Source organism: Homo sapiens, chromosome 5 (genome assembly GCF_000001405.40).
Source record: "Homo sapiens chromosome 5, GRCh38.p14 Primary Assembly".
Classification (NCBI taxonomy): Eukaryota; Metazoa; Chordata; class Mammalia; order Primates; family Hominidae; genus Homo; species Homo sapiens.
Window position 1 is genome coordinate 21662557 of NC_000005.10, and position 19396 is coordinate 21681952.

Below are 19396 nucleotides of genomic sequence, written 5' to 3' on the forward strand. Positions count from 1 at the left end.
TTACAAAATAAAGAGGTTTAATTCAATTTACAGTTCCATGTGGCTGGGGAGGCCTCACAATCATGTTGGAAGGCGAAGGCATGTTTTACCTTGCAGCAAGCAAGACAGAGAATGAGAATCAAGTGAAACAAGTTTCCCTTTATCAAACCATCAGATCTCATGAGACTTATTCACTACCACGAAAAGAGTATGGGAGAAACCACCCCTGTGATTCAATTATCTCCCACTGGGTCCCTCTCACAAAGCATGGGAATTATGGGAGTACAATTCAAGATGAGATTTGAATGGGGACAGAGCCAAACCATATCATTCCACCCCTGGCCACTCCCAAATCTCATGTCCTCACATTTCAAAACCAATCATGCCTTCCCAAAGATCCCCTAAAGTCTTCACTCATTTCAGCATTAATTCAAAAGTCCACACTCCAAAGTCTAATCTGAGACAAGGCAAGTCCCTTCCACCTATGAGCCTGTAAAATCAAAAGCAAGTTTGTTACTTCCTAGATACAATGCGGGTATAGGCATTGGGTAGATACAGCCATTGCAGGTGGGGAAAATTGGCAAAAACAAAGGAGCTACTGGCCCTATGTGACTCTGAAATCCATAGTGGCAGTCAGATCTTAAAGCTCCAAAATCATCTCCTTGGACTCCATGTCTCACATCCAGGTCATGCTGATGCAAGAGGTCGGCTCCCACAGCCTTGACAGCTCCACCCTGTGGCTTTGCAGGGTATAGCCCCCCTCCTGGCTGCTTTCATAGGTTGGCACTGAGTGTCTGCGGCTTTTCCAGGAGCACAGTGGAAACTGTCAGTGGATCTACCATTCTGGGGTCTGGAGGACAGTGGCCCTCTTCTCACAGCTCCACTAGGCATTGCCCCAGCAGGGACTCCATGTCAGGGCTCCAAGCCCACAATTCCCTTCTGCACTGCCCTAGCAGAGGTTCTGCATGAGAGCCCCGCCCCTGCAGCAAACTTCTGCCTGGACATCCAGGTGTTTCCATACATCCTCTGAAATTAGGAGGAGATTACCAAACTCTAATTCTTGACTTCTGTGCACTGGCAGGCTCAACACCACATGGAAGCTGCCAAGGCTTGAGGCTTGCACCCTCTGAAGCCACCTCCCCAGCTCTATGTTGGCCCCTTTCAGCCATGGCTGGAGAGGCTGGGACACAGGGCACCAAGTCCCTAGGCTGCACACAGTACAGGACCCCTGGGCCCACAAAACCACTTTTTCCTCCTAGGCTTCTGGGCCTGTGATGGAAGGAGCTGCGGTAAAGACCTCTGACCTGCCCTGGAGACATTTTCCCCATTGTCTTGGGGATTAACATTTGTCTCCTCGTTACTTTTGCAAATTTCTGCACCCAGCTTGTATTTCTCCTCAGAAAATGAAATTTTCTTTTCTATTGCATCATCAGGCTACAAATTTTCCTAATATTTATGCTGTGTTTCCCTTTTAAAACTAACACAGCACTGAAGTCACCTCTTGAATGCTTTGCTGCTTAGAAATTTCTTCTACCAGATACCCTAAATCATCTCTCTCAAGTTCATAATTCCACACACCTCTAGGGCAGGGGCAAAATGCCTCCAGTCTCTTGGCTAAAACATAACAAGATTCACCCTTGCTCCAGTTCCCAACAAGTTTCTCAACTCTATCTGAGGCCATCTCAGCCTGGATTTCATTGTCCATATCATCATCAGCATTTTGGTCAAAGCCATTCAGTAAGTCTCTAGGGAGTTCCAAACTTTCCCAAATTTTCCTGTCTTCTTCTCAGCCCTCCAAATTGTTCCAACCTCTGCCTATTACCCAGTTCCAAAGTTGCTTCCACATTTTTGGATATCTTTTCAGCAATGCCCCACTCTACTGGTACCAATTTACTGTATTAGTCTGTTTTCACACTGCTGATAAAGACATACCTGAGACTGGGTAATTTACAAAAGAGGTTTAATTTGACGCCCAGTTCCATGTGGCTGGGGAGGCTTCACAATCATGGCAGAATGTGAGAGGCAAGTCAGCGGGAAAGATAGAGAGTAAGAATCAAGTGAAATGAGTTTCCCCTTATCAAATAATCAGCTCTCATAAGACTTAGTCACTACCATGAGAACAGTATGGGAGAAACTGCCCCCATGATTCCATTATCTCCCACCAGGTCCCTCCCACAATGCAAAGGAATTATGGGAGTGCCATTCAAGATAAGAATTGAGTGGGGACACGGAGCCAAACTATATCAATGTGTTATATTATAGCTATAGTTTGGTTGTTTGTCCCACAAACCATATGTTGAAATCTGATAATCCATGTTGGAGGTGGGGCCTAATGGAAAGCCTGTGAAGGGGTAGATCCCTCTTGAATGGCTTGGTGCAGTCCTTACAGTAATGAATGAGTTCCTGCTCTATTGGTTCCCATGAAAGCCGGTTGTTAAAAAGAGGCTGGCACCTCCCTCCAGCCTTATATTCACTCACGGTGTGATCTCTGCATACACTGCCTCCTGTTTGCCTTCCCCCATGAGTGAAAGCAGCCTGATGTCTTTACCCAATGCAGATAGCAGCTCTATGCTTCTCATAAAACCTGCAGACCTGTGAGCCAAATAAACATCTTTTCTTTATAAATCACCCAGCCTCAGGTATTCCTTCGTAGCAAAACAAATGGACAAAGACAATTAGCATTATTCTTTATCATTACAGGTCATCTTCATTTGTTCCCATGCATTCAGGTTACCACCTACAGTTATGTCCTTATCTTAATACAGATTTACTACCATCTGCCTCCTTTGTGATCTTATTCTCATGGTTTGGACTTCTAGGTTTAAATAGAGTCAATTCCTTTGTGAAGAGCTTTGAAGCTCTCCATTCTGATCGGCTGCACCCACCTTGGAAATAAACCCTGGGAATATTCAGGAGGCAATAGTGGCCTCTGGTCTTCTCAGGTTTTCTTCCCCACATGTAACTTCTACTCCGTGAATGAATTGAGATGAGCACTACTGGGGCCCAGAATATTCTCAGTCTTCTGCACGTGGGCTAGACACTCTGCCCTGTGAGGACAAGGACACCCCAACCTCTCTACTACACTAACATGGAGTTGGGATAGATGAGATATGCTGGCAGGTTTTCCTTCCTGGCGAGACAATATATTCCTTGATTAACAGCTCAAGGAAGAGGGATCCTGTTTCAGCCACTCCCATGTGGAGTAAAGCCTTCATCAGAATGAGATGGGTGGAGAAGGGAAGTGTTATGGCTCACATTCCACAGACTTGATATTTTCTTACTGAGTTTTAGTAAGTTTTGTTGAATAAATGTTTTTTCATTTGCTGGATGTCCTTGTGACAATTTCCAGACAAATGATTGTTTTCTTGTTTATAATAATTTTCACCAATTGTGTTGCTATTCCGGGAAGTAAGTACATGAAGCTCCTCACATTTCTTCTCTAAAAGTGAAAGAAACTCGACTATTAAAATATAATGTGCTTATTGATGGAGTTATTTTAATATCTATATGTTTGAAACCGTTTTCTATCTTTTGTATTTGTTTTTATTTTTTTCTGCCTTTTTTCCCCTGCCTCTTCTGATTTTGAGTATTTTATAATTCCATTTTATCTCCTCTCTTAGTATATTAATTCTTCATTTAAGTTTTTTCAGTTGTTGCTTTAGTTCACACTATACATTTTAAATAAGTCTACTTTTAAATAACACTATGCCAGTTCATTCATGTCAAGGTAAGGTACACAATTCCCCCTCTTATGCCTTGTGATATTACTGTGACTCATAAAACTTATCCATACGATATGTAACTTCCCAATACCTTGTTATAATTATTATTTCAAAAATCAGTTATATTTTTCACACACTGGGGCATGTCAGGGGATAGGAGGAGGAGGGAGAGCATCAGGATAAATACCTAATGCATGTGGGGCTTAATACCTAGGTGATGGACTGATAGGTGCAGCAAAACACCATGGCACACATTTACCTATGTAACAAACGTGCACGTCCTGCACATGTATCTTAGAACTTAAAATTAAATGAAATTTTTAAAATCGGTTAAATTTTTGATCAATTTAAAAAATTAACACTTTATTTTTCTTTCATTTATTTCATAATCAGTGGTCTTCCTTTCCTTATGACTTTTTAATTTTTTGACCTATATAATTTTGCTTTTCCCTGAAAAACTTCTTTTAGCACATCTTGCAGGGCTGATTTGCTACTGATGCATAACTTCAGTTTATATTATATAAGATAATCTTTATTTATTCATCTCCTTTGAAGAGACATTTCTCCAGAGATATAACTCTTCTTTTTTTTTTTTTTTTTTTGAGACGGAGTCTTGCTCTGTCGCCCAGGCTGGAGTGCAGTGGCGTGATCTTGGCTCACTGCAAGCTCCGCCTCCCGGGTTCACTCTATTCTCCTGCTTCAGCCTCCTAGTAGCTGGGACTACAGGCTCCCGCCACCACGCCCGGCTAATTTTTTTGTATTTTTAGTAGAGACGGGGTTTCACCGTGTTAGCCAGGATGGTCTCGATCTCCTGACCTCATGAGCCGCCCGCCTCGGCCTCCCAAAATGCTGAGATTACAGGCGTAAGCCACCGCGCCTGGCCCAGAAATAGAATTCTTGATTAGTGTTTTGGTTTTTTTCTCACATCTTAAAATATTTTACTGTATTCTTTTCTTGCTAATGTGATTCCGATGAGAAGTCCACATTAACTCCTGTCCTTTTTCCTGTGTAGGTAAGCTGTCCTGAATCTCCATTTTTAAAAAGATTTTCTTTTTGTCATTGGTTTTCTGTAGTTTGATTATGATATGTCTAGGTATTTTTATTTTATTTTATTTTCAAAATTTTTTTGTTTGTTTTTATCTTGGTGTTGTGAGTTTCCTGGACCTGTGGCTTGGTGAGTGTCATTAATTTTGGAAATTTTAAGCCACTATAATTTCAAATATTTCTCTTTGTCCATTTGCTTTTTTTTCTCCTTCTGGCATTCTATTACATATATGCTGACCTTTTGAAATTGTCCCATTCTTGGATTTTGTGTTCTGTATTTTTTAGTTTTTTTTTGTATTTTGATATGCAAAGTCTATATTGACCTATTTTTAAGTTCACTGATTCTTTTCCTGGCCTTGTATAGTCTTTGAATTTACATTATATAACTACTATGTTAGTATTTGTTGAAATTAATTGGCAATGATACTTTTATAAGTTCAATATAATACATCTGGATCCACAAAGAATATAATATATTGATTAAACTGTTCTAGGTCAAGAATTTGGTGCTGGGTGCAGTGGTTAATACCTGTAATGCTAGTACTTTGGGAGGATTACTTGAGCCTAGGAGTACAAGACCACCCTAGGCAATGAAGTGAGACTCTGTCTCTCAAAGAAGAAAAACAATTAGTCAAATGTGGTGGCAGGTGCCTGTAGACCCAGCAACTCACGAAGCTGAGGGAGGAGGATCACCTGAAATCAGGAGTTTAAGGTTGCAATGAGCTATGATTTACGCCACTGCACTCCAGCCTGGGTGACAGAGTGAGACTCCATCTCAAAAAAAAAAAAAAAAAAAGAAATGTTTGTTTGTTTTTCCCTTTCTTCCTTGTGCCTAAAAAATTTTGGTGTGTAAGAAGTGAGAAGTAAATAATCATTGGCCAGTTTAAAGTATAAATAAGTATGTTGTGATTTAAAACAAATAAAGATTTTACATTTGAAAAATAGGTTTGACTTCTGGACAATTACTGTAAAGTTAGTGTTGGCATAATGAGATTTGTGAGCTATTCCTGGAATACCCTGAATTTCAGTGATTATCCCAATCAGTATAAAAATCTTTAAATTCCCTTCCACTTTTCAGATTAGAGTTCTAATTAGAGCTTTTCTCATATTGCAACATTTTAATAAAGATTTGAGGTAATAAGTTTTGTGCACTTGTGTGAGTGTGTGTGTGTTGTGTATATGTTGCTCCTTTTAAACACCACAACAAAAACAATAAAACCATTTGAGCATCATCCTTTCTACTACTGAAGGAGCAGCTGTTTCTCAGAGAAGGCCATTGTAATAGCCTGGCGAATATATGCACTAGATATTTTCCCAGTCTCTCCAAAAGCATCACAATCATTTGCTCAAATAACAATACTCTATAAAAAAAGCAACATGCAAAATTTATAATAGGGACTACTACTCATGTGTTCTGAATTTATCCTGAAACCCCAATCACCACCGTGACCTTTCGCTTAGTGGGGTGACATATGGACTCAGCTAATTCACGGAGTCTTGATTCAGGTCCATCTCAGCACAGTTCACTGAGGCCAGGAACTAACACAGTGGTTATTTTTCTGACTGAAAATAAAATCAAAACGGGTATGTTTAGCAGTTAATCTATTCTTCACATTGATTCCTTGATCTTTCGAGTAAGAGTGATTGTCATAGCAAAGGCCAAATGGAAGTCCCTGAAATTTTCACACCGGGCCATTATAGCCCCTGGCCAAGAGAACAAATTAGAAACAATATTTCATCCCAGAGGAATAGCAGAACTTAGTGCCACTGTCAAAGACTTTAAGGATGCAGATACATGGATTCCATCATATGCACATTACTCATATCCACATTTAATGGGAAGCTATGCTTCATGCTTCTATACAGTCCTAAAACGATGGTTATGAGGTGCTGTCTCCAGCAGGTAGAATGTGTGGATTCAGGATCCAGGAGTGGAGGTAGCCAGGCACTGCTCTCCATCATTTCTACATGCAGAATTTATGCTTCACTTTCCAGCAGGGAACACAATAAGAATCTCATTATACTTAAAGCTACAGTTGCCAAGTGTTCTCCTTGAACTCTTCATGCCAATGACCTAGCAGGCATAAAAAGGAATTAGTAAAACAGCCAGGGTAATTGGTCCTGGCAGGTAAGATGGCTGCTACATAAGATGGACAGGAATGTGGTCACTTAGGCTGGAGTGCAGTGGCACAATCTCGGCTCACAGCAGTCTCTGCCTCTTACCTGGCAGGTGATGGCTGCTACATAAGATGGACAGTGTTTGGCAATCAGGTGGTCTACTGCAGGGTTTCTTGATAATCCCATGCTCAGTTCTTATTCTCAATATGAAAGTGGAACAACCACAACTTAATAAGGTCACAGTATCCAGGAATCTATGATAGTAGATGGTAGATAGGCCATAGTATCTATGAATCTTCACCCACAAGCCACCTAGACCAACAGAAGTGCTAGCAAAGATCAGTGTCATTTAACTGTGGTAGAGAAGGGAGATGAGTATCAGGTCAGTCCTCAGGACTGACTGCAGCATTAGGGGCTGTGGTTCATCGCATTAACCTTCCACTTTTAACTCTTCCTAGGAATTGTGGTGATTTAGAATCCTGGAGTAGCTGTGTCTGGATCCAGTGAACATAAATTGAGAACAAAGTGATTTTCAGTGGGGTGATGGGTGAGCTGAAGCCAATGCCTTCTGGTAACTTACTCACTCTGCAGCTGCTGTTAGTGCTGGCTGCTAATAGGCTCACAACCATCCCCTTCATTAGGACCACAATCCTTGGTTGAAAAGAGCTTCCTTACCCAGGAGAGCTCCTTCCCATGCCACAGGCATACTGCTTTCAATATTTAATTATATGGAAATACAAAAGTCTGGCCACAATGCCTCAAAGTGAAGGCAACTTTTTGGTGAGATTTATGTTCCAGATTCTCCTGTGAATGAAGCCAAGGCTGAGTTCTCTGAGACTATATTCTCTCTCAGCGTGTACCTATTCACTGTGCCTGTCTTGCTTCCTTCACTCTTGCTCCTGAAAAAGATTCCTGCAATACAGTGCATGAAACCACATCACTGCTAGAAAACACTACCAAATACATATTTAGACACAAATTCACATGCACAAATAATAACTCGAATTTGTGTTATGCTAAATTTTCAAAACACATAAACAACTTAAACATATAAATAGGAAAGTGTAGGAATACAGTAACAATACGCTGTATATGGTGATGCTATATATGTAACTTTCAACACAAGGCAAAAAGACATGACAAATTCAATAGTAAAGTCCTTAGAAGCTCATTTGTGTGGGAGGTAGTTAAGAATTATCATTAACTCTTACATCAGCCCTGTTTTATTTTGCTTTTTTGGGACAAAGACTTGCTCAGTCACCCAGGCTGGAGTGCAGTGGCACAATCTCAGCTCACTGCAACCTCTGCCTCTGTATTTTTTGTGGAGATGGAGTTTCACCATGTTTATCAGGCTGTTCTCGAACTCCTGACCTCAAGTGATATGCCTGCCTCAGCCTCCCAAAATGCTGGGATTATAGGCATGAGCCACCGCACCTGGCCAGCACTGTTTTCTTCTACTATTTTTTTAAATTATACAAGTCATATTTCACAAATATTGATATCTATACATATATATTTATAATTTTAATAGGCAACATTATCTATATTAAAAATAGTTCTATAGCAGTAGTGTTTATTTCTTTCCATTGTATGGTAAGAAAACACAAGAAAGAATGCTTTCACCTGTTATTCTAGAAAAAAAAAGATGGTCAAATTATAATAAAATGCGACCATGTAATATTACCTGGTCAAAATAATTTGAATATTACAAGGTCAAATGTATACTAATATTACAAGTAAAACCTTTACTTCATCTTGAGAGCCAAGTAGAATTGTTTATTTATTTTACTAGCCATAAATTCTGTTTTCCTTGACAGCACAGTGTATGAATAAATAACAGTTTTACATATAAGTGAATAGCTTTATAGCTATTCTTTAATTAAAATTGAATCCTTTCTTTAAAAAGATGTTCTTATTCTCATTTTCACGTTTTTCTTTCTCAAGCAGCAAATTAATATTACTGCTTTTTAGGCAGAAGAAATTTTATGCACTTGTGCTTGTGTGTATTTTTGAGAAAACTTGCAGCAGATAAACTTCTCTTTGAATGTTTCTGAATGGTCTTATTTCTGAATAAGAAGATGTGTCTCTGTGTGTATAAATATATACACGAGAGACAGATACTAGATAAAAAGATAGATAGATGACATTGAGAGAGAGAGTGAAAGAGAGGAAGGCAGGAGAAACAACTACAATCCAAGCCACAAGTATTTATGCAGGGAGTTCTATTTTTTACCAAATAGTTTTAAGAATTCTTGATCTAAGGTTTGATCCTAATCTTTCTTCTTCCTCCCTTCCTCTTTCTCTCTTTTTCTTCCTTCCTCTCTCCCTCCCTTCCTCCCTCCCTCCATTCCTCCTTCTTCCCTTTCTTGTTTTTTGTTTTGTTTTGGTTTGGTTTTGCGATGCAGTTTCGCTCTTGTCACCCAGGCTGGAGTGCAGTGGGGCGATCTCAGCTCACTGCCACCTCTGCCTCCCGGGTTCAAGTGATTCTCATGCCTCAGCCTCCCAGATAGCTGGGACTACAGGTGCCCGTCACCATACCTGGTTAATTTTTGTATTTCTAGTAGAGACAGAGTTTCACCATATTGGCCAGGCTTGTCTCAAACTCCTGATCTGAGGTGATCCACCCTCCTCGGTCTCCCAAAGTGCTGGGATTACAGGTGTGAGCCACTGCACCGGGCCTATTCCCTAAATCTTAATCACATCTGTTCATCACCACCCTTGTTGGCTATATACCACTCCCCATATGATTGTTTACAAGCTCTCCTTATTTTTATTCTCTAAGCACCACTGATACAACATTGGTGTGTACACAATTGTACAAAAAAATTAGGGATAAAGAATGGGATTCTATATCAGGCTAAGAAGCACTCCAATCAGTTGAGATTCTTTGCTGCAGATGACAGAAATCAACAAATATTGACTTAAAAACACAATCAAAACAAAAATTAATTTGATTAGAGGCTCCATTGTCAGCTCTTTGCTAATTATATTAATTCCATGGGCTACATTTTAGTGCATAATGTAAGCAGAATAGTGGTCTTTAATGATACACACATCCTACTCTCTGGAAACTGTGTATATATTACCTTACATTCAAAAGGAATTTTGCAGAAGGACATTCCAGACTGGGAGGTCATCCTGGATTACCTCACTGGTCCCAAGGTAAGAAAGGCCCTTAAAAGATGGAAGAGAGGAGCAGGAAAATCAGAGTCAGAGAGGAGATGCTATGATCATAGCTTTAGGTAAAGCAGTGAGATTGCTGCCTTTGAAGATGTAAAGAGGACACAGGCCAAGGAACACAGGCAGCCTCTAGATGTGTGAAAAGCAAGGAAAAGTATTACTTCCTTAGAGCTTCCAGAAGGAAGACAACCCTGCCAGCATCTTGATTTTAGCCCATAAGACCTCTTGGATTTTTGTATTTCTGACCCCCAGAACTGTATGATAATCCTTATTTGTTGTTTTAAGCAAGAAATATTATAATAATTTGTTATAGCAGCAATTACAAACCAAAATAGCATGTTATTCTTTTGCCCTTTCAGCTGTCAGAAAATTATTATATCTCTCTGACATTATGACGTTATGATAGATTGTCCTGTTCATTTTGTATGAACATTTAACTTTGCTTACAATGAGCACATATTAGTCATATAATCAGGAATTTATATATAGAATATGTAAAACAGATGACATTTATGACAATATTTAACATTGCTTACAATGAGCACATATTAGTCATATAATCAGGAATTCATATATAGAATATATAAAACAGATGACATTTATGATAAGTTTGAAATGTGTCTTCTCAAAACAAGAGATTAATGTGGAAGAGAAAACTTGAAAAATAGCTAAATGCAAGCAAGAAAGCTTAGTACAGAGAGAATGACAGAGGAAGAAAAAGAGTAAGAAAGAAAAATGTAGAAGAAATAAAATGCCTACCTAAGGACTTTGTCCCTAACATAGTAAGCATTGAAGACCTCCTGAAGGTTTTTGGGGAAAAAATAGATTAAATGAAGTTGAGCTTAAATTATGTATCATTACTAAATAGATTACTTAAGAACAATTGCTGAAGGTTGATGTATAATTTAGCTGAAAGCCTTTGTTTTTATTTACCACATTTCATATTAAAACCATATTGACTATTTTAATAGCAAAATATATGTTCACTATATCAAAATATGTTTAATATAAATAGAAGACAAAATATTTGAATAATCAACCATAAAGCAAATGAGAACATTATAAAGGAGTGAAATATATGTTAGATTTCTTAATCACCTACTGAAGAGGTGATATAGATGAAGAGACTTTTTGCTTGAATTTTTGCAAGAGAATTTTTGCTTGAATTAAGTAAATTAAAAATAAAATTTTGTGTCAATGCCTTCTAAAATTCACATTTTATAGCCGCTTCCAAGATAGTTTTATTTTCTGAGGTACTTGAAATGAGAGGTATAAGGTTGAGTATAAAACACTTTGCTCCCTCTGATCTCTTTAATTCTAAAATTTTGTTTATAACTATTAAAATTTCTCAGTGTCCCTGAACACTGATATTAGGGTAATATAGTGCAATTTCCTTTCTGCCTTTTACTCTCAGAAAATCATTATAAATAAAGTGATGATAGAGTTTCATGATTTTATAAGAAAAAGAAATAAGTACTTAGCTCTTTGTGTCTATCTTGAGATAAAACCATAAGGTGACTTTCAAGCAGTAATTTTAGTCAACTATGATATATTTTAGTAACCATTGAATTTGCTTTTAGGAATAACAGTTTTTTGAGGTTTTTGTTTTAACTCCAGATATGGAAAAATTTCAAAAGGTTTTTGGGGTTTGTCCATAAATATGTATGAAGCATTCATCTTATTCAGTCATTTAGTATGTGCATCTGTGATACATTTACAATGTCTTTATGATAGATCCTAACTTAAAGTCAGAATATAGACAAAGCTTCCATGTTAGGGGCCTATTTTAATACTTACAATAATAGGAGGACTTCTCTCACATGTGTTCTCTTAACAGACTGAATATATTGAGTAACTACAAAATAGAACAACACATTTGTTTACTCTTTGGATTATTATGTTGTTTGACAAGTTGAGGTCAGCATTGGAGACATCATATCATAGTGAACTTTTTTTTCTCTCTCTCTCTTTTCTTTTCTTTTTGAGATAGGGTCTCACTCTGTCACCCAGTCTGGAGTGCAATGGCACGATCATGGCTCACTGCAGCCTTGACCTCCCCAGCTCAAGTGATCCTCCTACCTCAGCTGGGACTAGGAATACAGACACACACCACCATGCCAGCTAATTTTTGTGTGTGTGTGTGTGAGGGTGGGTATTTTCTGTAAAGATGGGGTTTTACCATGTTACCCAGGCCGGTCTCGAACTCCTGGGCTCAAGGGATTCACTTGCCTCAGCCTCCCAAAGTGTTGGGATTACAGGTGTGAGCCAGCTCCCCTGGCCTGATTTTTTTTCCTATGTATTTTAAACATACTTCAAATCCTTAGGTATACATGGCTGCATTTTATAACTTTTACATTCTGCTGATGTGTCAGCCCTACTTCTTGACAAATGTATTTTGGTTCTCTGCAAATCATCCCTAAGAGATTTCTGGACATCTGCAGAGGATGTTTCAGATACACTCAAAGACAAATTTTATTCTGCTTGTTGCTCCAGTCCTGATTCATGGCATATAGCAGCTGGTGCACCAGAGGCCAAGGGAGAGCAGGAAGCTCTCTTTCCCCAAAATAAGTAGAAGCAATGTTCAAATCTACCATTCTAGATAATAGTTGTTCACCTGGGAATCAAAGAGCACAGCCTGTCAATCTATAAAATGAGAGAAAATATTTGCAAACCATCTCTCTGTTAAAGAGGTAATATTCAAAATATATAATCTATAATATATACACAATTCGATAGTAAAAACATAACAAAATAAAAAGTAAAAGAAAGAAAAAATCACAAATAATTTTCCCAATTAAAAAATGGGCAAATAACAGGAATAGACATTTTTCCAGAGAAGACATGCGAATGGTCAATATGTAAGTGTAAAGATGCTCAACATCACTAATATTCAGAGAAATGCAAATCAAATCACAATGAGGTATCATCTCACACCTGGTAGGAGGGCTATTATAAAAAAGACATGTGATTACAAGTGTTGGTGAGGGTACGGAGAAAACGTAATCCTTGTACACCGTTGATGACAGTGTAAACTAGTCCAGCCATTATGAAAAACACTATGGAAGCAAAACAAATTCTGAGGTTGTAATATACAGCATGATTGGTGATCAATGTGTTTGTGATAAACATTACACAAAGTATATGTATATCGAATTATCATGTTGCACACCTTAAACATATACAATCTTTGTCAATTACATATTTTAAAATAAAAAATCCTAATGAGCACAGACTATACTGTGTGTTCATAAGACTAATTATGAAAATAGCATTTGCAACTTTGTTCTTTTTTTTTTTTTTTTTTTTTGAGGCAGAGTCTCTTTCTGTTGCCCAGGTTGGAGTGCAGTGGTGCAATCTCAGCTCAATGCAACCTCTGCCTCCCTGGTTCAAGTGATTCTCCTGCCTCAGCCTCCCGAGTAGCTGGGTGTTATTGTCTTAATCCATTCCAGCTGCTATAACAAAATACCTGAAGCTGGGTAATTCTCAAAGGACACATTTCTATCTTACAGTTCTGGAGACTGCAAATGGAAGATTAAGGCACTAGCAAGTTTTGTGTCTGATGAGGACCTGATCTCTGTTTCCAAGTTGGTACGTTGTTGCTGGGTCCTCCAGAGGGGACAAACACTATGTTATCACACGACAGAGATGGAAGGGCAAAAGGGCTTAGCTAGTTCCCTCCAGTCTTTACATGTGACATTAATCTTATTCATGAGGGCTTCACCCTCATGGCCTATTTGCCTCCTAAAGGGCCTACCTCTTAATATTATTACATTGGGAATTCAAGTTTCAATGAATTTTGAAGTGGAAACATATTCAAACCCTACCATTCCTACAATTACTCTCTCCTCAAAGCACTGAACTTGTTCGTGGACTCAGAAAATAAATTGAATACAGCCTCAGTTGTTTCTATTTTTCAGTTATTGTGAGTAATGCTACTATGTACATGCATGTGTATGTTTTCATGCAGTCCTTCATTTTCATTTCCCTTGGGTTCCACTCCTAACAGTGGAATTGCTGTGTCATATGATAACTCTAGGCTTAATATTTTGATGGACTATCAAACTGTTTTCCAAAGAAGCTGCACCATTTTACATTCCCATCAGCAATGTATGAAGTTTCAATTTATCCACATGCCCTTCAATATTGGTTATTGCATGTCTTTGTTTTAATACCCATCTTATTGTGTGTGAAGTTATATCTCAATGTAATTACTTACATTTCCTAATCATTAATTTTATATCTACCTACCCATATCTATCTATCTATAAATACCTATTGATATTGTTCCCCCAGTGATTGTCGTGGGAATTATCATTATTCCTTTACTTTATATCAGTATAATACAGAGTAGTACTAATTTATTTTCAATATTATACAAAACATTTACTCCATTTTCTCCTTTCATTTTGTGCTATTATTATACAAATTACTTCCTTATAGATTGTATTCTCATCAACACGGATTTATAATTATTTATTTAAAGAGTTGCCTTTTTATATCAGAAAAGAGAAAAAAGATAGAAATAAAAAATATATTTATATATTTTATATTTACCTATGTAGCTACTTTCACCAGTGCTCTTTCTATCTTTCTGTACATTTGGGTTACTCTCTAATGTCCTTTCTATTCAGCCTGAAGGACTTCCTTTCATATTTCTTATAGAGCAGGTCTGCTTAGTAACAAGTTACTTCTTAATTGCTTATATAAGACTGTATTAAAATGCTTCTTCATTTCTGAAGGGTAATTTTGCTGGTTATAGAGTCTTTGGTTGACTTTTTTTCTTCTAGCTCTTGAATATGTCCTTTCACTGACTTAGGCCTCCAGAGTGTCTTCTAAGAAATTACCTATTAATCCTATTGAGGGTTTTTGTGTATGTGATGAGCTACTTCTCTCTTGCTACCCTCAAGATTTTTTCTTTGCCTTTTAATAGTGTCATTTTGATGTGTCACGTGTGGGTCTGTTTGAGTTCATCCTATTTGGAGTTTGTTGAGGTTCTTGGATGTATAGATTAATTTTTTTAAATCAAAAATTTGTGTGTTTCTACTCTCCTCTGGCACCCCATCATGCATATGATGGTATGCTTGTTGAATTACACAGGTCCCTAAGACTTTGTTCATTTTTCTTTATCGTTTCTTTATTCTCTGTCTTCCTCAGACTACATAATCTTAATGGACTAAGCTTCAATTTTATGATTTCTTTCTTCTGTCTCAAATATGCAGTTGAGTTCTTCTACTGAACTTTTCATGGAAGTTTTTGTAAGTTTCAAGTACAGAATTTTGACTTGATTTTTTTATGTATACATTTTTATTGATATTCTCTGTTTGGTGAGGCATTGTTCTTATGCTTTCCTTTAGTTATTTGAACAAAGTTTCCTTCAGTTTCTTGAATATACTCAAATAGCTGATTTTAAAGTTTTTGTGTAGTCATTTTAATATCTAAACTTCTTGAGAATAGTTTCTATTAACTGCCCCCTACATCTGTAGCTATGAGTCACATCTTCATTTTTCTTTGAGTGTCTCTTAAATTTTGTTAGAAAATTTGACATTTTAACAGACATATTGTGGCAACTCTGGAAAACAGAGGCTCTCCCACCCCAGGGCTTGTTTTTGTTGCTATTTATTGGTGTTGTTTAGTGACTTCTATAAAATAATTCTGTAAAGTGTGGATTCTTTGTCCTACTTGATTATTGAAGTCATTGCTTGTCTAGCTTAGTGGTTAGACTAAGTGGATAGACTTTCCTTAAATTCCAGAAACCAAGAAGTCTCTCAGTCTTTGCTGAGTGGGTCTCTGGGCACATTGATGCATACCTTCAGTACTCAGGTGACAGTTTACATCTTTGTCTTACTTAGCCTTCACTTTCTGCTTGCAACGAGCGCTAAGGTTTGTCAGCAAGAGCTTAGGGCCTTCTCAGCTCTACCCTGTGCATACACACAGGTCTGGGTACAGCCCTAAGTATGCATACAGCATTTTAGATTTCCAAGAATATGTTGGAGCATTCTGAAGTTCTCTACAGACATCTCATTTCACCAGATTTTTGATTTTTATTTTAAGTGTTTCCTTTAACCTCTTGTTGTCTCCAACCATCATTTCCTTCCTTGGGCACTCACAGTCTTAAACTATTTCCTTTGATTGTTCTTGAAAATGCACCATTGGAAAAGTTTATTCTCATTAGGTAAGCTTCAAGTCATACATAATAAAGACTACTTTGAAGATGGGTGTGGGGATATGGCAGACTCGTTGAACAATGATGGTTCTCTGGGAACAGGTAAGTTCAGGAGGCCCAACTTCTTACCCCTCTTCAGTAGCTATTATTCAGTTGTTTGCAGACTGTTGGTTTTTAAGGCTACAATGAAGAGGGAAAAAGGAGATAAAAAGAGGGCCACTTAGAACGCCACAATGCTTGCTGTTGTTACTGAGATTCACCCATTTTTCTTTTTTCTTTTCTTTCTTTTTTTTTTCTGGATGGAGTCTTGCTTCATTGCTCAGCCTGAAGTGCAGTGCTGGGATGTCAGCTCACTGAAGCCTCTGTCTCCCAGGTTCAAGCAATTCTCTGCCTCAGCCTCCTGAGTAGCTGGGATTACAGGCACACGCCATGACACAGAGCTAATTTTTGTATTTTTAGTAGAGACAGGATTTCGCCTTGTTGGCTAGGCTGCTCTCAAACTCCTGGTCTCAAGTGATCCACCCACCTTGGCCTCCCAAAGTGCTGGGATTACAGGAGTGAGCCACTGCGCCCAGCCTCATCCATTTTCCTTAAGTAAGGGTTCCCTGAATAGCTGCAAGGCTTTAATTAAGGGAGAGAACTAAATGTTATTTCATTGAATGCCCTGATTTCCAGAAATATCTTTTCTTGTCCCCATTTTGTAATACCAAGTTAAGTTCCTCCAAAATAATCAGAATCAATTACCCTTTGCACCATTCCCCTAGGAGTCTATGTTACCAATTAAATAATTTTGTTCTATCCAAGCTCTTGTTCAGGCATCTGTGCCATCAATCACTGTCCATGTGTTAAAATACAAACCTCAGACCTTATTCCTTTCCATGCAGTGTGGACAACCTAATGTACTGTCTACAAGGCAGATGTTTCTGCCCTTTTGGAAGATTTCACTTTACCTTGTCTTTAGGGTCACCTCTGTATAGGGCTATGACAAAGGAAGTACTCACATGCATTTGGGGCAGTATGCTGGGCAAACCGATTCTTAATTCAGGTCCATGCTTTTTGTTCTTCATTTATTAGCTCATGGAGCACTCATCATGAGGCTTCACATAAAGATTGAACAAGATGCATAGAATGAGTCTCACACATACCATTTCCATTTAACAATGGACTCTTGGTGCATACTTATTATGCAGACTCCTGTCCAAACTTATTATGCGGTAGATACTATATTAGCAAGCTCATGATGAGCAGGTAAAGTCACAGTCACCTAGGGTTCAAGGTTAGACATTAGTTCTTATGAGTGCTTAGTAGGAAACCATGACATACTTCTCAAAATAGGTTGATGCAGTGTAGCCCCATGTCGTACAGGTTATCTCTAAAATTCTAAGAGTTTCACCAGAGGTTATGCCATTTTATCTTGCAGTGGGCAGTGCAAGGAATAGCAGCTTATATCTCAGTATGGAGGAAAATTCCAATATGCCTGCTCTAATAATTTATTATTGTATTAAAAGCTACTCCAAAACTTAATGACAAAATAGCAAAAATAATTTACTTTGCTCATGAATCTGGAACAATCTCAGGGGGTGGAAAATGTTGTCTGACTCATAAGACATGAGACAGAGTGACTCAACTGGGGCAGAGGGATCCAGTTTTAAGGTGATTAACTCACATTACTGACAGATTAAGGCTACTGTGACTGGGAACTCAGCCATAGCCTTTTACAGGGCTATTTGGGCTTCCTCAAAGAATGGGGCCTTCACACAAAATCTAAAATTTCTCTCCTCTGTATATCATCTTAGTAAATGACTAAGCTGTTTCCATTTATTATGATCCAGTGATTAGTTAGAGGTCTCCAATATCTGCATGATAAGATACTCTCATTACTAGTGTGTTTCTGAGGCCTATTGTGATCACTGCACCTGATTTTTTTCAAACAGTTAATTGCTACCCCTTGGCCTCTACAGTTTCTGAATTTCATTATTTCCTTTGAAATTAGGAAAAACTACTTAATAACAGCATTCATCACCATTAACTCCTGCCTACAAAGGACAAGCACCGTAGAGTTTTTGAGGATACTAATGCCCTCTTACTAATACACTTGCAATGTCTTATGTAAGTAATAGACTCCAGGTCCTCCCGGGCATGGATAAAAAGTCACTGAACAAGTTGACAAAATAGATCCATTGCTATATGGTCATTCTCAGAGACTTGCAACTTCACTGTTTACCAGAAGAGTGCTGGTATTTCAATTTCATTAATACAAAGTCATTTAAGTCCAGAATTTGATTAGCCAATCTAGTAGACTATAAACAACACTTCTATCTTTTTTTTTTTTTTTTTTTTTGAGATAGAGTCTCTCTGTCGCCAGGCTAGAGTGCAGTGGCGCGATCCCAGCTCACTGCAACCTCTGACTCCCTGGTTCAAGTGATTCTCCTGCCTCAGCCTCCCGAGTAGCTAGGATTACAGGCATATGCCACCACATCCAGCTAATTTTTGTATTTTTAATAGAGCCGGGGTTTCACCATGTTGGCCAGAATGGTCTTGATCTCCTGACCTCGTGATCCACCTGCCTTGGCCTCCCAAAGTGCTGGGATTACAGGCGTGAGCCACAGTGCCCAGCCAACACTTCCATCTTTTTAGGCTGTGGCATTAAACCCTGAATGCAGAGTGAGGGTAACTATAATGGTATTTGGCCCCATCGAGCGTTGTATTTCATTCTTCTTAAAACATCCTAGGAATTTCATACATTCTCCTCAGCCTTCTACCAATAAATGATAAGAAAAACCTGTAACACTTTTGCTGATCAGAAGCCTTACTGAAAACATGAACAGTTGGTTAACACATATTTCATAAGTTACATGGATTGTATGTTATATTCTTATGATAAAGTAAGCTAGGGAAAAGACAATGTTATTAAGAAAATCGTAAGGAAAAGAAAATAAAAGATAAAAAAAAAAAAAAAGAAGAGCTCTAGCTCTTCTTAAAAGCCCAGGCAATGACGCACCATGAGGATTTGTCCTGAGAAAAATTATAAATTACCCAAGGGCAGTCAATAAAAGTGTTTGTCATTGTTTTTTTTCTTTCTTTCTTTCACTATTTTTTTCTTTCTTTATTTCTTTGTACGCATATTAAGGTTGACTTTCTTGGAGGAGAAGGCATTAAGCTGTCTCTAAAGCAAGAGAATTTTGAGAAT

The 19396-nt window shown here is 38.2% G+C and overlaps 1 long non-coding RNA gene across 1 annotated transcript in view; it reads left to right on the top strand.

Annotated features, from left to right (window-relative positions):
- LOC105374685 (uncharacterized) overlaps positions 1–13919 on the top strand; it is a 63568-nt gene extending 49649 nt beyond the window's left edge. The window contains exon 3 of the long non-coding RNA XR_925848.3: positions 13553–13919. This is a non-coding gene — a long non-coding RNA (uncharacterized LOC105374685). The remainder of the gene's footprint in view (positions 1–13552) is intronic.
- The last annotated feature ends 5477 nt before the right edge of the window (positions 13920–19396 follow it).